The 19,221-nt window shown below is 36.5% G+C and overlaps 1 protein-coding gene across 4 annotated transcripts in view, besides 2 other annotated features; it reads left to right on the forward strand.

The window, feature by feature from the left end:
- MEI4 (meiotic double-stranded break formation protein 4) overlaps positions 1-19,221 on the forward strand; it is a 276,772-nt gene that overhangs the window by 235,699 nt on the left and 21,852 nt on the right. The window lies entirely within an intron of this gene.
- Positions 6,454-6,623: an enhancer, noted in NCBI's record as "experimental_95486 CRE fragment used in MPRA reporter constructs". NCBI's record gives its function as "activates a minimal promoter by MPRAs in K562 erythroleukemia cells, with activity observed for the introgressed 6:78602228 or rs13219006 variant allele {active_cell/tissue: K562}" and the evidence as "EXISTENCE:reporter gene assay evidence [ECO:0000049][PMID:34662402]".
- Position 6,539: a transcriptional cis regulatory region, noted in NCBI's record as "Neanderthal adaptively introgressed variant 6:78602228 (GRCh37/hg19 assembly coordinates) or rs13219006 in the experimental_95486 CRE". NCBI's record gives its function as "modulates activity of the experimental_95486 enhancer by MPRAs in K562 erythroleukemia cells {active_cell/tissue: K562}" and the evidence as "EXISTENCE:reporter gene assay evidence [ECO:0000049][PMID:34662402]".

Genomic DNA, 19,221 nt, shown 5'->3' on the forward strand with positions numbered 1-19,221 from the left:
TATGTTGCATTATTCTTACATCTCTAGGATAAATCCCACCTGATTATGGTGTATTATCACTTTGATGTGCTGTTAGATTTGGTTTGCTAGTATTTTGTTGAAAAATTTTGCATTTATGTTCATCAGGGATATTGGCCTGTAGTTTTCTTTTTTTAATTGTTCCCTTATCTGTTATTTTCTATGAGAGTAATACTGGCATAATACAATGAGTTAGGAAGAATTCCCTCCTCCTCAACTTTTTTGGAATAGTTGAGAAGAATTCATGTTAGTTCTTCTTAATAAGTTTGACAGAATTCATCAGTAATGCCATCAGTCCTGCACTTTTCTTTGTTGAGAGGCTTTCCTGATTCAATCTTGTTATTCATTATTGCTTTGCTCATGTTTTCTGTGTCTTCTCAAGTCAATCTTGGTAGGTTGTACGTGTCCAAGAATTGACCCATTTCTTTTAGATTTTCCAGTTTTGTTTTTTTTTTTATGAGATGGAGTCTCACTCTGTTGCCCAAGCTGGAGTGCAGTGGTGCAAGCTCAGCTTACTGCAACCTCTGCCTTTCAGGTTCAAGCAATTCTCCTGCCTCAGCCTCCCAAGTAGCTGGAATTACAGGCACCCACAACCGTGGCTGGCTAATTGTTTTGTATTTTTAGTAGAGATGGGGTTTCAGTATGTTGGCCAGGCTGGTCTTGAACTCCCAACCTCAAGTGATCTGCCTACTTCGGCCTCCCAAAGTGCTGGGATTACAGACATGAGCCACTGCACCTGGCCCTGTTAGAGTATAATTGTTTATATTAATATTTAATGGGGCTTTGTATTTCTGTGATACTGGTTTTAATGTCTCCATTTTCATATTGATTTTATTTATTTGGGTCTTCTCTCTTTTTTTCTTTTTTGGTTGCCCAGCTAATGGTTTATCTGTTTTGTTTATCTTCTCACAAATCTAAGTTTTTGATTAATTTATCCTTTGTATTTTTTTAGTCTCCATTTCATTTAGTTCTGCTCTATTCCTTATTACTTCTTTTTGTCAACTAATTTTGGATTTGGTTTGTTCTTTCTTTTTTATTCCTTGGGGTTTATTGTTATGTTGTTTATTTGAAATTTTTCTACTTTTTGAGGTAAACATTTATTGCTGTAAGCTTCCCTCTGAGCGCTGCCTTTGCAGAATCTTATTAGTATCTCATAGTATGTTGTGTTTCCATTTTATTTTGTTTCAAGAGGTTTTTTTTTTCCTTCTTAATTTTTTCATTGACCCAGTGGTCATTCATAGTCATTTTGTTTATTTTTTTTTTTACAATTTCCAAATATCCTCTTAGTATTTATTTCTTTTCTTTTTTATTCTTTTTTGAGATGGAGTCTCACTTTTGTCGCCCAGGTTGGAGTGGAGTGCAGTGGCCTGATCTTGGCTCACTGCAACCTCCACCTCCCGGGTTGAAGTGATTCTCCTGCCTTAGCCTCCTGAGTAGTTGGGATTACAGGCATCGCCCACCACACCCGGCTAATTTTTGTACTTTTAGTAGGGACGGGGTTTCACCATGTTGGCCAGGCTGGTCTCGAACTCCTGACCTCAGATGATCCACCCCCCTCAGCCTCCCAAAGTGCTGGGATTACAGGCGACAGCCACCGCACCCGGCCTCTTAATATTTATTTCTAGTTTTATTACATTGTGGTCTGAAAAGTATTAAATATAATATTGATGTTTAAAATTTTGTTGAGACTTGTTTTGTGCCCTAATGTATAGTCCATCCTAGAGAATGTTCTATGTGTTGGTTAGTATAATGTGTATCTGCAGCTGTTGGATAAAATATTCTGCAAATATCTATTAGGTTCATTTGGTGTATTGCTCAGATTGTTTTTCTTAGTTGATTGTCTCTCTAAATGACCTAATGCTAGGAAGGGGATGTTGGAATTGCCAACTGTTATTGCATTGGAGTCTGTCTCTCTCTTTAGATCTATTGGTATTGCTTTATATATCTGGATGCTTCAGTGTTGGGTGCATGTTTACTTAGAATTATTATATTATCTTCCTGAATTCATTCCTTTATCATTATATAATTACTGTCCTCATCTCCTTTTATACTTTTTGATTTAAAGTTTATTTTGTCTGATACATGTATAACTACTTCTGTTTGCTTTGGTTTCCATTTGCATGGAATATCATTTTCATTCCTTCACTTTGTATGCATCTTTGAAAGGGAAGTGAACTTTTTGTATGCAGCCTATAGTTTGGTCATTTTTTAAAATCAATTCAGCCAGGCTATATCTCCTAAGTGGATAATTTATTCTGTTGACATTTAGAATATTATTGATAGGTGAGGACTTACTCCTGTCACTTTGTTAATTGTTTTCTAATTTTTTTGTATATCCTTTTTCTTTTTTTTTTTTCTCTCTTACTGTTTGTCATTATGGTTTCCTGACTTTCTTAATGGCAACATTTGACTCCTTTGTTTTTCTTATTTTTGCATTTGCTCTACCCTGAGTTTAATATCTTCCTGTTTCCATGGTGATGTATATTGGCCTTTTGCTTCCAGAAGCAGGACTGCCTTAAGTGTTTCTTGAAGAGCTAGTCTACTGGTGATGAATTCCCTCAGTATTTGTATGGGAAAGACTATTTCTCCTTCACTTTGGAAGGATAACTAATGGGCATAATATTCTTGGCTGACAGACTTTTTTTTCAATGCTTTGAATATATTATCCCATTCTCTTCTGGCCTTTAAGGTTTCTGCTGATAAATCCATTCTTAGTCTACTGGGAATATCCTTATATGAGATTTGATACTAATATGGCCTGGCTGTGTTCCCACCCAAATCTCATCTTGAATTGTAGTTCCCACAATCCCAATGTGTTGTGGGAGGGACCCAGTGGGAAATAATTGAATCATGGGGGCAGTTACCCTTATGCTGTTCTCGTGATAGTCAGTGAATTCTCATGAGATCTGATGGCGTTATAAGGGGCTTTTCCCCCTTTGCTCAGCACCTCTACTTCCAGCTGTCATGTAAAGAAGTACATATGTGCTTCCCCTTCCTCCATGATTGTAAGTTTCCTGAGGCCTCCTCAGCCCTGTAGAACTGTGAGTCAATTAAACTTCTCCTTTATAAATTACTCAGTCTCAGGTATTTCTTCATAGCAGCATTAAAACATAAATCGATACCACAGAGAGTGGGATGCTGTTGTAAATCACCCCACTGTCTGTGGTATCTGCTGTTGTCCCCACCTGAAAATGTGGAAGCAACTTTGGAACTGGGTAATAGGCAGAGGTTGGAAGTTTGGAGGGCTGAGAAGACAGGAAGATGTGGGAAAGTTTGGAATTTCCTAGAGACTTGTTGAGTGGCTTTGACCAAAATGCTGATAATGATATAGACATGAAGTCCAGGCTGAAGTGGTCTCATATGGAGATGAGGAACTTCTTGGGAGCTGGAGCAAAGGTGAATCTTGCTATACTTTAGCAAAGAGACTGGCAGCATTTTTCCCCTGTCCTAGAGATCTGTGGAACTTTGAATTTGAGAGAGATGATTTAGGGTATCTGGTGAAAGATATTTCTAAGCAGCAAATCATTCAAGAGGTGACAGAGTATAAAAGTTTAGAAAATTTGCAGCCTGACAATGCAGTGGAAAAAGTAAAAAACACTTTCTAGGGAGAAATTCAAGCTGGCTACAGAAGTTTGCATAAGTAGCAAGGAGCCAGATGCTAATTGCCAAGACAATGGGGAACATGTCTCCAGAGCATGTCAAGACCATCATGGCAGCCACTCCCATCACAGGCCTGGAGTCCTAGAAGAGAAAAATGGTTTTGTGGGCCAGGGCCAGGGCCCTCCCTGCTTTATGCAGCCTTGGAACATAGTGCCCTGTGTCTCTGCTGCTTTAGCTCTAGCTGCGGCTAAAAGGGGCCAAGGTACAGCTCAGGCCATTGCTTCAGAGGGTGTAAGCCCCAAGACTTGGAGGCTTACACGTGGGGTTGGGCCTATGGGTACACAGAAGTCAAGAATTGAAGTTTGGGAACCTCTGCCTACATTTCAGAGCATGTATGGAAATGCTTGGATGTCCAGGAAGAAGTTTGCTGCAGGGGCAGAGCCCTCATGAAGAACCTATGCTAGCACAATGTGGAAGGGAAATGTGGGGTTGCAGTCCCCATATACAGTCTCCACTGGGGCACTACCTAGTGGAACTGTCAGAAGAGGGCCACCATCGTCCAGACCCCAGAATCATAGCTCCACAGACAGCTTGCACTGTGTGCCTGGAAAAGCTGCAGACACTCAACACCAGCCCATGAAAGCAGCTGGGAGGGGAGCTATACCCTGCAAAGCCACAGGGGCAGAGCTGCCCAAGGCCATGGGAGCCCACCTCTAGCATCAGTGTGACCTGAATATGAGACATGGAGGCAAAAGAGATCATTTTGAAACTTTAATGACTGATGTATTGGATTTCGGATTTGCATGGGGCCTGTAGCACCTTTGTTTTGGCCAATTTCTTCCATTTGGAACAGGCATATTTACCCAAAGCCTGTACCCCCATTGCTTACAGGGAGTTACTAACTTACTTTTGATTTTACAGGCTCATAGAGAGAAGTGACTTGCCTTGTCTCAGATGAGACTTTGGACTTGGACTTTAGGGTTAATGCTAGAATGAGTTAAGACTTTGGGGGACTATTGGAAGGGCATGATTTTGTTTTGAAATGTGAGGACATGAGATTATGAGGGGCTGGGGTGGAATGATATGGTTTGGCTATGTCCCCACCCAAATCTAATCCTGAATTATAGTTCCCACAATTCCCACATGTTGTGGGAGGGACCCAGTGGGAGGTAATTGAATCATGGTGGCAGTTACCCTCATGTTGTTCTTGTGATAGTGAATGAGTTCTCACAAGATCTGATGGCTTTATAAGGGGCTTTTCCTCCTTTGCCTGGCACATCTTCTTCCTGCTGCCGTGTGAATAAAGACATGTTCACTTCCCCTTCCACCATGATTGTAAGTTTTCTGAGGCCTCCTCAGGCCTGCAGAACGGTGAGTCAATTAAACTTCTTTCCTTTAAAAATTATCCAAGCTCAAGCCTTTCTTTATAGCATGTGAAAATGAGCTAATACAGATACTTCTTTCTTGCTGTTTTTAGAATTATTTGTCTTTTACTTTTGACAGTTTTACTCTAACATGCATTGGAAATGAGCTTTCTGAGTTGGATCTTTTTGGGATTCTTTGAGCTCCTTGTATTTGGATGTCTGTGTCTCTTGCAAGACTTGGGAAGTTTTCTGCTATTAATTTGTTAAATATGTTTTCTATTATTTTGCCCACCTTTTCACCTTCTACAGCACCGAAAATTCATGTATTTCTTCACTTTCTGGTGTCTCATATATCATATATGCTTTCTTCATTCTTTTTCTTTCTCCTTTTTTTGTCAGACAGGTTATTTTCAAGTTCAACGATTATTTTGCTTATGAAGTCTATTGTTGAAGATGTCTTTTGTGATTTGATTTTATTTATTGAAATCTCTAGTTCCAGTATTTCAGTTTGATTTCTGTTCTGATGATATCTTTCTCGTCTGAATTTCTCTTTTAGATCATGTATTGTTTTCCTGACTTTTTTGTGTTGTTTAACCTTTGCTCTCTTGTATCTCACTGTTTCTTCAATATTATTATTTTGAATTTTTTTTCAGTCATGTCATGAATTTCCTTTTTGTTGGGATCATTTAACGAAGAATTATTGTGTTCCTTTGAAATTGTCATGTTTCCTTGCTTTTTCATATTTTCATGTTCTTTACATTGAAATTTGTGCATATGGTACAACAGTTGCTTTTTCAAGTTTTATGGATTGATTTTCATAGGGAAAGACTTTTTTATTGTTGTATCTATAATGTTGATTCAATAAGATTATTTTGCTTTGAATGTGGGTATGCACAGTAGGTTAAATTTTGTATGATTTGAGGCAGCTGTAATCAATGTCAAGTTTGTCTGTGTCTTCCTCATTTGCTTGGGCTGCAGTTGTTAGTGGATGCTGTGGTGAGACTTTGCTGGGGACAGGAGCATCAAGAGGGCAGGTCCTTGGGCACAGGTTTGCCAGTTCTCTGGCCCCCAGGCAGTGTCCACTGACACCAGTGGTAATATGCCTGGGTGAGCCAGTTCTTGGACTTCCAGGCATATTGCTTGTGTGTTGTCAGTAGCAGTGGTGGGCTTGGTGGACAGGCATGTCCTCAGGCCTTTGAGTGGTGTACATAGTGGGTGTGGTGGTGGTGGTAGTCTGTGCAAGCCACCCCCTACTCCCCATGATGGTGCTTGCATGTCATTGCCAGCAGCAGTGGTGGTAAAGGCAACCTTTCCTCAGGCTTCCCTGTTGAGTGCTGCCAGTGGTGGTAAGGTCAGGTTGATCTGTTGATCTCTAGGCTCCTAGACATTATGCATAGGTGTCACTGCAAGAGGCTGTAGGCAGGGTGATCCTATCCCCCACTGGTACACATGGGCATGGGCTGACTTGGGTAAGGCAGGCTTACCCCTGGATCTCCAGATGGCATGCTCAGACCTTGGAAGTGGTAACAGTTGGTGGTACAGGCTTATCCCAGAACCCCCTTAGGGTGCATGCAGGTGTTCTCTGGCCCTACTGCTGGAGGGGGCAGGGTTACTGTCAGTGGCATCAGTCTCAAGCAGGTGGCTCTCAGGCTGTAGTGAGTGCATTCTATTACTCTCTCTGTCCTGGAGGCAGCCCATTTCCTAGGCTATAGGACACTGCATGGGTGAGAATGCTTGAGAACTAGCCCCTCCACTCAGTCCAGCTGGCCTTATGTCACTGCAGCTCTCTGGATAAATGTAGGATGATGTCAGTAGGAATTCAATGATGTGGAGATAGAGAGGCTGTTGGGCCCCAAACAGTATATAGTTTGGTGGGGGCTGGACTCTCCAAATGGCTCCATGCTGCATCTGCTTGGATCTTGGGGCGTGTGTGGGACCCGTAACAATGGAATTGTGTAGATTCCAGGAAACTTTACATGCTAGTCTCAGGGCCCACAAGGGCTTAGGAACTCTCCCACAGCTGGGATTGCAGGAGCCTGCAGTGGGGATGTCTGTGGAAAAAGATATTTTTCCCACAATGGAGAGTGCCTCCTGGCTCCAAGCCAATCCTGGCCAGGCTGTCTTCTTTGCTTCTTTCTCTTTCCATGCTTTAGAGGTTCTCTGTGATTGCCCTGCTGCATCCCAATGTTCTCTCTTAGACACTCTATTTGATGTTTGATTATCTACTGACTGTTTTTGCTCCTGCTTTGTAGAGAAGGTGAGTGCCAGGTGCCACTTGACAGCTATCTTAAAAGGCTACAAGAACCATTTTTTTTAACGTGTGTATTAACATATGCATCCTAAGTTATTCTCCCATTTGCATTATTTTCCGTGCATTTAAGCTAATGTGAATTTCCCAGAATGTATTTAGTTGTACTTTGAAGATTTTGCTAGTTTGATTTTCTAAACAGAGATTTGCTGAGTGTTGACTTCCTGTCAACTATAACTCATTCAGTAGCAACACTACTACGGTAACACTTTGGACATAACCGTCTTATAGACATCTCATATTGTTCTATAATTATTTACATATGTAACGCTACCATGAATGGTAAGGCCTAAAGTATACAAAGCCGTCCTCTTTGTTGATTGTTATGTAATTTCTGTCTTAGCACTGTGCTTGACTTAGCCACTAAGGAAGTGTTATTTGAAGAGAATTTATAAAAGCATCAATAAGCCAAAGTCCCTTTCTTGTTCTATACTCCTTTTTTAAAAACATTTGTCATCAGGTAAGAACTCTTGCCAGCCACTAATGCAAGAAAGCTTTTTCTGGGACCATTTGGCTTTTTCTGTGACAGATAAATTGCCCCAGCTGTTTCTTAATAGGAAGATTATAAAAATAGTTAAATTGGGAAAACTATCTCATAGTTTTAAGTCTAGTTCCTTCTCCTAAGCTTTTTATATTACATATGAACCTTCCTTAAAAAAATTTCTCCCATATAACAAACCTGCTCATGTACCCCCTGAATCTAAAACAAAAGTTGAAATTATTTTTAAAAAAGAAAATCATAACTAAGAGAAAATATGTTTACTGTTTATTAAGTGGAAAAAAATTTCTCTAGATTATCTTCAGGCACCAGAATTATAGTTAAATGTGAAGTATTTTATGAATTGTAGTTAGAAGCAGACTTATTGAATGGTTTATATATTTTTTAACAAAAATTATGTAGAATGTGACAAAGTGTTTGAAATATTAAATAATATCATATACTTGTATGATTACTTTTTCTTTATGCAGAAATTTTTAATATTATGATATTTCTTTGTTCTAAAAAGTAATTTATCAAAATTAGTACATAAAGACCTGACAAGGGTGACTTACACTGTACCTAAATTATATCGCAACAAACTTGATTAAGAAAGGCAGGTGTGGTAAATGGTGATTGATTGTATTTTTTTTTAAAAAAAAGAAAGAAACGTAATACAAGTGTCTATAAGAATACGGAATACATACAGCTTTTTTTCTTCTTTTCATTTGTTGTGCAGTTCACTAAGTCTTTCATGTCATGTTCTGATAAACTGATTGTATCGAATTAGTGATGATACATAGTAAAAATAGGAATAAAAAGGGATAAATATGATGCCTTTTAATTTCTTTGAGTCAGCTCTGTTCAGTTGTCTTTTGTAATGTAATAATCTGAGGCTGATAAAATTTGCTTTCAATTTCTAAACAAAATTATTGGAAAGGTTCTGCTCTCTTGTGAGCCAATCTTGTTGTCCCTAATCATGGGTTTTGTATCCACTGCTCCTAAAAAGTATACCTGCTCACTTTGGTAAATTTTTCAAAGTTTAAGCACTACCTAGGAAATGATTTTAGCCTGTGGCTTTTGCCTGGCTGGGCAGTCACTGATGCTTCTCCAACAAATCTGGCTCCTGTATTTTGCCTGGTTGGGCAGAGTTTGATGCTGTTATAGAAAATCTTTAGAGTCCTAGGAAGAATATTTTCTGTTGATTTTACCCTCACTGGATATTTAAACATTTGTTTTCCATCAATAATGGACATACAGATCTCTACTTTTCAATATATACCATATGTTTCACCAGCTTTGATTTCTTTTCTCAAGCCCTGTCTTAATTACTAGCCTAACACAGTGAAATATTGCATTCTCTCCCAAGAATACTGCTTTTATGCTTCCTCATGTCTATACGTATCTTCTTTCAGAGATGTAAGTATAAATGTAAGTGATTATAGTCCTCATGGATTCCAACACACTCTTTGAGATTTTGTTAACACATAAAATTGATTTGGCCCTTGACTGCCCACATCAGGGAAATCTGGTTCCATTGTCCTACAGAAGGCTAAATTGTAAGGATTATTCTGAGTTGTTTCAGAGATTAACGACACCTCTCCCTGCTCTTCCTTTAAGTTCTCTGCCTCCTCCTTGTCTCAATGCATCATCACTAAGCAGAGCAGATACTCCTTGGTAGCAGCCAAACAGACATTTTTTCCTATACCGACAACAATTTTCAAGTCACCTCTCCTGAAGAATGCTGCCATACTCTCTAGAAGGAATTGAGTCTGCAGGATCATCATTCATGGTTCAGCTCATTTCCTGCCCTTCAGCATCTTCTCCCACCCTATGACTATTCCCTTTAGAGTTCTTTTATACAGCATGCTCTCTGCATTGCCATTATTTATTTACTTCTTTATCTCCTTAGATATATACCAGGGACTCTTATAGGTGGAGATCATGTCCTATTCATCCCTGTATCCCCAGCACCTACCCTTGAGTTAGACACATGAAAGTACCCAATAAATATTTGTGATAGGACAGAAGGGAGGAAGGGACTAGAGCAATGCAGACAGACACGTAAAGTTTTAAATTTCTAAGTACCGCCAGCTGAGTTAGTCCTTAGAGAATTTAGCTGCTTTTATTCCAGTTCCTGAACCTTGTTCTTTCACATAATAAACACTGTATTAATAAACAGATTGTCTGATCAGTATTGTTTTGTTAAGAACTGCTGTGATGATGGAAGTCCAGACTAACAAACGATCTATTTACTTTTCATATGTGCTTGAAAAAGATTTCCAGCTTTAGATTGTAATATTGTAGTATAAAATAGGGAAAGTTTCCTATAAGTGGGGTTGACAGCCCCATAATTTAAGACAGTGGTACTGAGAAAGTAGTGCAGCTGCAAGGTACAGTTTTTGAACACTAACTAAAGAGATTTCTGAGAACAGAGGAATGCAAGCTCTATCTATTATGAATGCTCTTTGTGAAAAGATCAAGAATTTATATTAATGTGGCATCTATTTTATCACCATATCCACCAGTCTGCTCAATCCAATGACCAAGAAAGTGATAAATGTGAGTCAAATCACAGGATGTTTCACCAAAGAAATGTGTGAAGATAAATTTTTAAGGCACTTGGGATTTAATCTATGATGATATTGGGTTAGACACTAAAAGAGCACATTACTTAGGGATCAGAAAATCACATCAACTTTCCTCTAGAATAGACTTGAACAAGTTTATCCATCTGACATTATTCAGATAACCAGAGAATATGTTTAAATAAAGAAATCAAGCTAGTTTCGTAAATACTGTGTTACATTAGGGTGTTGGAGATAGGGAATTGGTTGATTGGACCTTTTTTCAGTTGTTCATGTCTCATAAGACTCTGTTTAACACACACTTACACCTTCTTCAGGGCCTTGTGATATTAGAAAATCTTTAAAATAATCAATTCATATTTAGATTCCTTAGTACCATCCTTCTATGCAAAAAGGAATTATCTTCTAGATTACTACTGTCTATGAAGGATTTTCTTGATAGGGAACGTAGGTAAGGTTCTTTACACATCTCTAGATGAGCAATTCACAATCAGCTTGAAATGCCTTCAATAATTCACCACAGTGTAGTACTTGAATAATACTAGTAATTTTTCTCTAGATACAAAGTAGCTTAAGAGTTGAGACTATTGTTTCACTTTGGGTAAAAATATGACAGTAACGATAATAACAGACAGTAGATAACACTTACTTGAACGTGTATACTCCTATGCTGTGGTTTAAATTTATAATCTTATTCTCCCAGCATCCCAATAGAGGAGTTATTGTTATTATTTCCAAGTTTTAGATGAGGAAAATGAAGTTTAGAAAGGTTAAATAACTTTCCCAGATCATATAGCTAGTAAATGACTGAACTGGGATTTAATAAAGCAATTAATATACGTTAATTTGATAGCATTCCTTTACAAAGAAGGAATTCCCCAAAAGAGTGTTACTTACAAAGTAATATTCTAGTTTCTCAAAGATCTCAACCAACAAGGGCCTCTGCCATATATGTCCTTATTGGGAGTTTCAGTAGATGTTTGTGTCAGACAAATACAAATCATCCTTTTCTTTTTACGATTCTTGTACAAACTCCTCTTTGTAGGCCTTTTCTTCAGTTTACTCATTTTGCTATTACCTTGTTACATAAATTCAGCTTCAAGAAACAGACTTGTGAAAAGTAAAATAGATTAATGAGAAAATAATTATTTTTAAATAAGTCATATAATGACAATTTTTTAAAATTGTTATATATATATATCTTTCACAAATACTTATGTACACAACGTTCATACTTGTTGAACTGTTTCCAATACGAAAAAAGGGTAAAATGTCAAGATCCAAAATACTAACAGTTTTAGAACTTTTCATCAAAGTTATCACACATATTAGACATAAACCCTTTAGAACTAGTCTCATGGATTCAACATTTTAGGCAGATAATGGCCATTATCTGTATAAAGCAAAATGGATTAATACTTACTGAGTCTTTTCATCTTTCTTTTCTGGGCACTTGGATCAAAAGATGATTCACCAATCTATACCCCTCACTCCCTTTGTACCCTGCCTTACAATTCATCTCTAGGAAATTTCCCCTAATTAACTGTACTCTGCTCTAACCAGAGCTTTATACTCCCTCAGTATAGGCCCAACACCTAGGTTATGGGGAGAGAGAGAGAATATAACACAACCTTTGGAAGAAACATACTTTTAAACCAGTATGTGCTTCTGTTGTAATCATGAGCTCATTGATTTTATGTATGTAAGTATGTATATAACTTGCATGTGATTTTTTGACTCTGTTCTTGAGCATTTGAGCATTGTTGCAAGCATGGTCAGATGCTCTACTGCATTGGGCTCCTAGCTAAGCCCCTGCTTATTTGTTAGCTGCTTTGGTGCTTTCTCCTATGCTTCAGAAGTTTCAAGCTAGTTAGTAAATGGCTCATAGAGAGTTAACTTCATCCCCTTAGAATTCAGGACTAAAATTGACTGCCTTCTTTACTTTCTACTAAATAAAAAAGGATAATTTATTAAAAGTCAGGGTAAGTTTCCTACTGAATTATCATGGTGACAACTGACCTTTTCCTTTAAAGTACCATGTTGAATGCATTCTTTTAGAGACAACTCATTTTAGTTGTTATTACTTCTGTCCTATAAAATCTGGCACATAGGAAACTGACCAAATGGTATATTATATTCAGTGAACATTTAGTTTAACATTTATGTTATATGGCTGTGCTCCTTGACTTAATTTTCTGCTCTGTAATATTCTAAATATTTTCTTTCACTTATTGCCTTTGTAGTAGTAAGAAAAAATGTTGCTTTGTGCTTTTACCCCTTCCAGAGGAGCTTCTGAACATGTCAGACTACATCTCTGTATGTCCTTGGCTAGTGCTCATTATCAAATTGATTTAATGAACTGTTACATTTTTATATTTTACAGCATTAAATATAAACATCCAAACTACAAGTTGAACCTCAAATATACAGTCCCCTTTGTTACATTTTTTTTTATCCAAGGAATGTGACTTTCCTTTTGTCCCTTTAGATCTCTCTGTCTTTTCTGTATCAGAGATAGCAGAATGAAACACCTTTTAAAGAGTAAGGGACCTGAAGATTTCCTTCCCTGCCTAGATGAAGTCTCAAGGTTTCAATTTTAAAGGACAGAAATGGAAGAAGGGAACTCTGGCATAGTGCAGGAAAGGAACAACCATCCTTTGTGAGTATACTGGGCTGCACATTGCCATCGGGAATACGACTCTTTCTATTAATCCATGGGTGTCCCTCATTCTCAAGCTTACAAAGAAGCTATTCTACTTCCAAGCACTGCATCTATATTTTCAAACAGGAACGTTGATAAAGGGGAATGTGAAACGTGCATATGAACATATTTTGCCAGTCATTAATGAGCTCTCCCAAATGCCTAACTCAGCTACTTATACTTAGATCTCTTTAACCAACATTAGATAAAAAGACACTCAATAATGTAAATATTTAACTGATCCATTGCCACCTGGAACAAAACTGGAGTCTGTTGATGAGGAAGAAGGAGAAATGGATATGGCTTACTATCTGGTGATTTTTTTACCAGAAAATTATCTCATTCTCTGAAAGCTCCCCATTATATAAAATGTGATTAGATAATGATAAGTAATCATGGGATTGTAGAATTTTCCTGTCCAGCTTTTATCCAACTAAAAGACCTAGATGGAAACAGAAACTGTTAGCATTGTATCAGATATACACAGCCATCCTGCTTCAGTATCGAGGCTCATTCAGCTGCCTGGAGAATGTTCAGGCAAAACACCTTGATGCTTTCTAGATGAGCACGTTACACCTACATTGGATATTTTCCAGTGCTGGTGTGGATAAGTCCAGCTTGACTGCTAGTATGTAAAAATTACTCTAAAACTAGTGGAAGAGTATCAGCCATCACTTCATCCATGTTGCCATAAATGTTATTGCAAATGACAGTATTTTATTCTGTTTTATGACTGAATAGTATTCCACACACAGACACACATTTTCTTTATTCATTCATTATTAGATATGCATTTAAATTGATTCCATATCTTGGCTATTTGTGAATACTGCCGTAGTAAACATGGGTGTGTAGATGTCTCTTTGACTTAAATGTAAAACCTGAAATTATGAAACTACCAGAAAAAAAAAAACAGGAAATCCTTCATGAAATTGGGCTGATCAAGAATTTTTAAATAAGACCTCAAAATACAGGCAATGAAAACCAAAATAGACACATGGAATCATGTCAAATGGAAAAGCTTCTGAACAGCAAAGGAAAAAAAAATGAAGAAACCCACAATGAGATATCACTGCATCTCAGTTAGAATGGCTATTATCAAAAAGCCAAAAAATAATTATTGGCAAGGATGCAGAGTAAAGGGAACTCTTATACACTGTTTGTAGAAATGAAATTAGTACATCCAAATTCATATATCCAAATTAGTGCTTCCAAATTTCAAATTAGTACATTATGGAAAACAGTAGGGAGATTCCTCAAAATATTAAAATATTTCTACCATATGTTCCAACAATCTCATTACTGGGTATATATATATAGAAAGGAAATATAGTTGTAACTTTTTAAAGTACTTCAATTCCTGTTCAATTCAAAACAATGAATGTGTATTGAGGATCTATTATGGGAAAGAAAGACATAGCTCTAGACTATAGAAATTATAGTGACAAGAACATACGTGCTCCCCTCAGTATGAGTCTAAACAGGCAATAAAACAAATATATAACTAACCAGAATATAAGGCAGAATATTTAAAAATCTATAAAATTGTAGGGATCAAGAAAGGCTCAATGAATACATGGCATCTGTGATAGGTACTGAAGGCTGATCAGGATGCTGGTAATTGGAGACTGACGATAAAAGTCATTTCAAATCAAGGGAATATTTATTTTATATATACATACTTACATTTTTGTGATAAGAACACTTAAAATATACTTCTTAAAACAATTTTCAGGTATATACTTATTGTCATTAACTTTACCATAATGCACAACAGGTGTCTTGAACTTATTCCTTGTATCTAACAGAAATTTTGTGTCCGTTGACATCTCTCCAGTACCCTTATTCCTCGGTCTCTGGTAACCAACATTTTAGTCTCTGCTACTATGAGTTCAACTTTTTTAGTATCTATATATAAGTGAGGTCATGTGGTATTTGTCTTTTTGTGCCTGGATAATTTAACTTAACATAATGTCCTTGGGTTCATCCATGTTATCCCAAATGACAGGATTTTCTTTTCTTTTTTAAGGCTGAATAATAGTTCATTGTATATATATATAGTACATTTTCTTCACCTGTTCATCTGTTGATGGACACATAAGTTGATTCCCTATGTTGGTTGTTGTGAATAATGCTGCAATGAATGTAGTAGTACAGATATTTCTTTGACATAATGATTTTTATTTTCTTTAGATATATACTCAGTAGTAGAATTACTGGATCATAGGCTAGCAACATTTTTTTGAATTTTTTAGAGGCATCTCTGTTTTCTGTAATGACTCACCAATCCACATTCCACCCAACAGTTTAGAAGGGTTCCCTTTTCTCCATACCCTCACCAACAGTTATCTCTAATCTTCTTGATGATAGTCATCCTAACAGGTATGAGGTCATACCTCATTGTGGTTTTAATTTACATTTCCCTGATGGTTGGTAATGTTAATGCATTGTTTCATATACCTATTGGCTGTTTGTATGTCTTCTTTTGAGAAATGTCTGTTCAGGTCCTTTGCCCATTTTTAATCAGGCTGTTTATTTTTTTACTATTGAATTGTTTGACTTTCTTATATATTTTTAATATTAGCCCTTTATCAGGTATATGATTTGAATATATATTCTCCCATTATGCAAGTTATTTCTTCATTCTGTTTATTGTTTCCTTGGCTGTTCAGAAGCTTTTTAGCTTAGTATAATTCCATTTGACTAGCTTTTCTTTTCTGGCCTGTACTTTGGGATCATATCCAAAAAATAATTGCCAAGACCAATGTCATAGAGCTTTCTCCTTTTTTATGTAGCAGTTTTACAGTTTCAGATCTTAAGTTTAAATGTTTTATCCATTTTGAGTTGATTTTTGTATATGGTGTGAGATGAGTGTCTAATTTCATTCTACATATGAATATTCAGTTTTCCCAGCATCATTCACTGAAGAGATTGTCCTTTTTCTATTGTATATTTTTGTTCTTTTTTGGGAAAGCAATTGACCATAAATTTGTGGATTTATTTCTGGTTCACTGTTTTCTGATCCACTGGACTATGTCTGTTGTTAGTCCAATACCATACTGTTTTGATTATTATAGCCTTGTAGCAGATTTTGAAATCAGATAGTATGATGCATTCAGCTTTTCCCTATTTGTTTAAGATTGCTTTGGCTATTTGAGGTATTTTATAGCTCTTCACGATTATTAAAACTTTTTCTCTCTCTTTTTCTGTGACAAAATTCATTGGAATTTTGATAGAAATTGTATTGAATCTGTATATTATTTTGAGATACTATAGGCATTTTAACAATTTAATTCTTCCAGTCCATGAACCACAGGCATCTTTCTGTTTAGTTGTATATTCTTCAATATCTTTAATCAGAATTTTATAGTTTTTAATGTATAGTTTTTTCACCTCCTTGGTTAAATGTATTCTTAAGTATTTTGGATTTTTGTAGCTATTGTGAATGGAATTATTCTCTTGATTGTGTGGCTAGTTCATTGTTAGTGTATAGAAGCACTACTGATTTTTGTGTATTGATTTTGTATCCTTTGTGAAAGGAAAATTAATCTTGGGGCCTCCAAATCACTAAGCTATAGGGAAAATTCAGGCTGGGAAGTGATTAGGGCCAACCTGTCTCCCATTCTATCCAAAGTCACCCCTCTGCTCACTGAGATAAATGGATATCTGATTGCCTCCTTTAGAGAGGATAATCAGAAACTCAGAAGAATGCAGCCATTTGTCTGTTATCTACCTATGACATGGAAAGCCCCCTCCTGGCTTCAAGTATCACCTTTGCTTCAAGTTGTCCCGCCTCATCATGCATATGTTGATTGATGTCTCATGTCTCCCTAGAATGTATAAAACCAAACTGTGTTCTGACCACCTCGGGCACATGTCATCAGGAGCTCCTGAGGCTGTGTCACGGATGCATGTGCTCAAATTTGGCAAATAAACTTTCTAAATTAACTGAGACCTGTCTCAGATTTTGGGGGCTCACACCTTCCACTTTACTTATTTATTCCGACATTTTTCGATGGAGTCTTCAGGGTTTTCTATATATAAGATTATATTGTCTACAAACAGAGATGGTTTAACTTCTTTCTTTCTAACTTGAATGCCTTTTATTTCCTTTTTTTCTTTCTTTTTTTTCTTTTTTGACCAACTGCTCTGGCAAGGGCTTTCAGTACAGAGAGTCTCTGACTTGTGATGGTTAACTTACAAAATTTCAATTTAAAGTAGTGTCAAAGCAATGCACAATCAGCACAAACACACTTCAAGTACTCATACAACCATTCTATTTTTCACTTTGAGGACTGTTCAGTTAATTATGTGTGATAGTCAGCACTTTATTATAAAATAGGCTTTATTTTAGATGTTTTCTTTCCAAATGTAATGTAATCTAATGTAAGTGTTCTGAGCATACTTAAGGTAAACTAGGCTAAACTATGATGTTTGACAGGTTAGATCTATTAAACACATTTTGAACTCACAATATTTTCAACTTACAATGGGTTTATTCAAATGTAATCCCATTGTAAGTTGAGGAACATCTGTACTATGTTGAATGCAAGTGGAAAGAGTGGGTATCCTTGTCTTGTACTTGGTCTTAGAGGAAAGACTTTCAACTTTTTACCATTGATTATGATGTTAACTATGGACTTGTCATATATAGCTTTTCTTTTGTGGAGGTACATCCCTTCTATCTAATTCATTGAAAGTTTTTAGCATGAAATGATGTTTAATTTTGTCAAATGCCTTTTCTGTATCTATTCAGATTATCATATGGCTTTTATTCTTCATTATGATAATGTGGTGCATTACATTTATAGGAACATTTATGTTATATATAGTATAGCTACCCTTTCTATATTTAGTTTTCATTTATTTGGAATATCTATTTCTATCCCTCCACTTTCAGTGTATTTGTGTACTTAAAGGTCAAGTCAGTCACTTGTAGGCAGCATTTAATTGGCTAATATATTTTTTATCCATTCAGCCACTCAATGTTTTTGGATTGGAGAACTTAATCCATTTACTTTCACTAATTGTAGAAAAGTAAGAACTTAGTACTGTGGTTTTGTTGTTTTCTGGTTATTTTGTACATTTTTTTCCTTCTTCTCTTACATTCTTTGCAATTACTTATTTTTCCCTAGTGTTATGCTTTGAATTTTTACTTTTTATCTTTTGTGTATCTACAAAGCTTTTTGCTTTGTGGTTACCATAAGACTCACGTAAAGCATCTTATAGTTATAACAGTATGTTTTAAGCTGATAACAACGTAGCTTTAATTTTCTTTCCAACTTTTTTTTGTTTTAGGTTCAGGGAGTACATGTGCAGTTTATTACGTGGGTAAATTGGGTGTCACGGGGATTTGGTGTACAGAATATTTTTTCACATAGGTAATAAGCATAGTACTCAATAGGTAGTTTTGCAATCCTCACTCTACTCCCACCCCCCACTCTCAAGTAGGCCCCAGTATCTATTGCTCTTCTCTTTTTGTCCATGTGTACTCAATATTTAGCTCTCACTTATAAATGAGAACATACAGGATTTGGTTTTCTGTTTCTATTTTAATTCACTTAGGACAATGGCCTTCAGCTCCATCCATGTTGCTGCAGAGGACATGAACTCATTCATTTTTATGACTGCAGAATATTCCATGATGTATATGCACCACATTTTCTTTATCCAGTCCACGGTTGATGAGCAGTTAGGTTGATTCCATGTCTTTGCTATTGTAAATCCAATTTAACTTTCATTGCATAAAGAAATCTGCACTTCTACTATCTCCCCACATTTTATGTTTTCAGTTTCACAATTTGCATCTTTTTATATTGTGTACCCTTGAACAGATTATTTTAGCTATTATTATTTTTAGTATTTTTTCTTTTAGGCTTCATACTAAGATTTAAGTGATATACATGCCACTTTTACAATATTAGAATATTCTAATTTTCCTTTATGCTTACTTTTTACCAGTGAGTTTTATACTTTCATGTTTTAGGTTACTAATAGCATCATTTTCTTACCTTAAATAACTCCTTTTCACAATTTTTAAGACAGTTCTGGGGGTTGATAAACTCTCTCACTTTTGTCTGGGGAAGTCTTTATCTCTTATTCATTTCTGAAAGACCGCTTTGCCAGATAAATTAGTCTCGGTTGGCAGTTTGCTGTTGTTGTTG

This window comes from Homo sapiens, chromosome 6 (assembly GCF_000001405.40).
Source record: "Homo sapiens chromosome 6, GRCh38.p14 Primary Assembly".
In the NCBI taxonomy this organism is placed as follows: domain Eukaryota; kingdom Metazoa; phylum Chordata; class Mammalia; order Primates; family Hominidae; genus Homo; species Homo sapiens.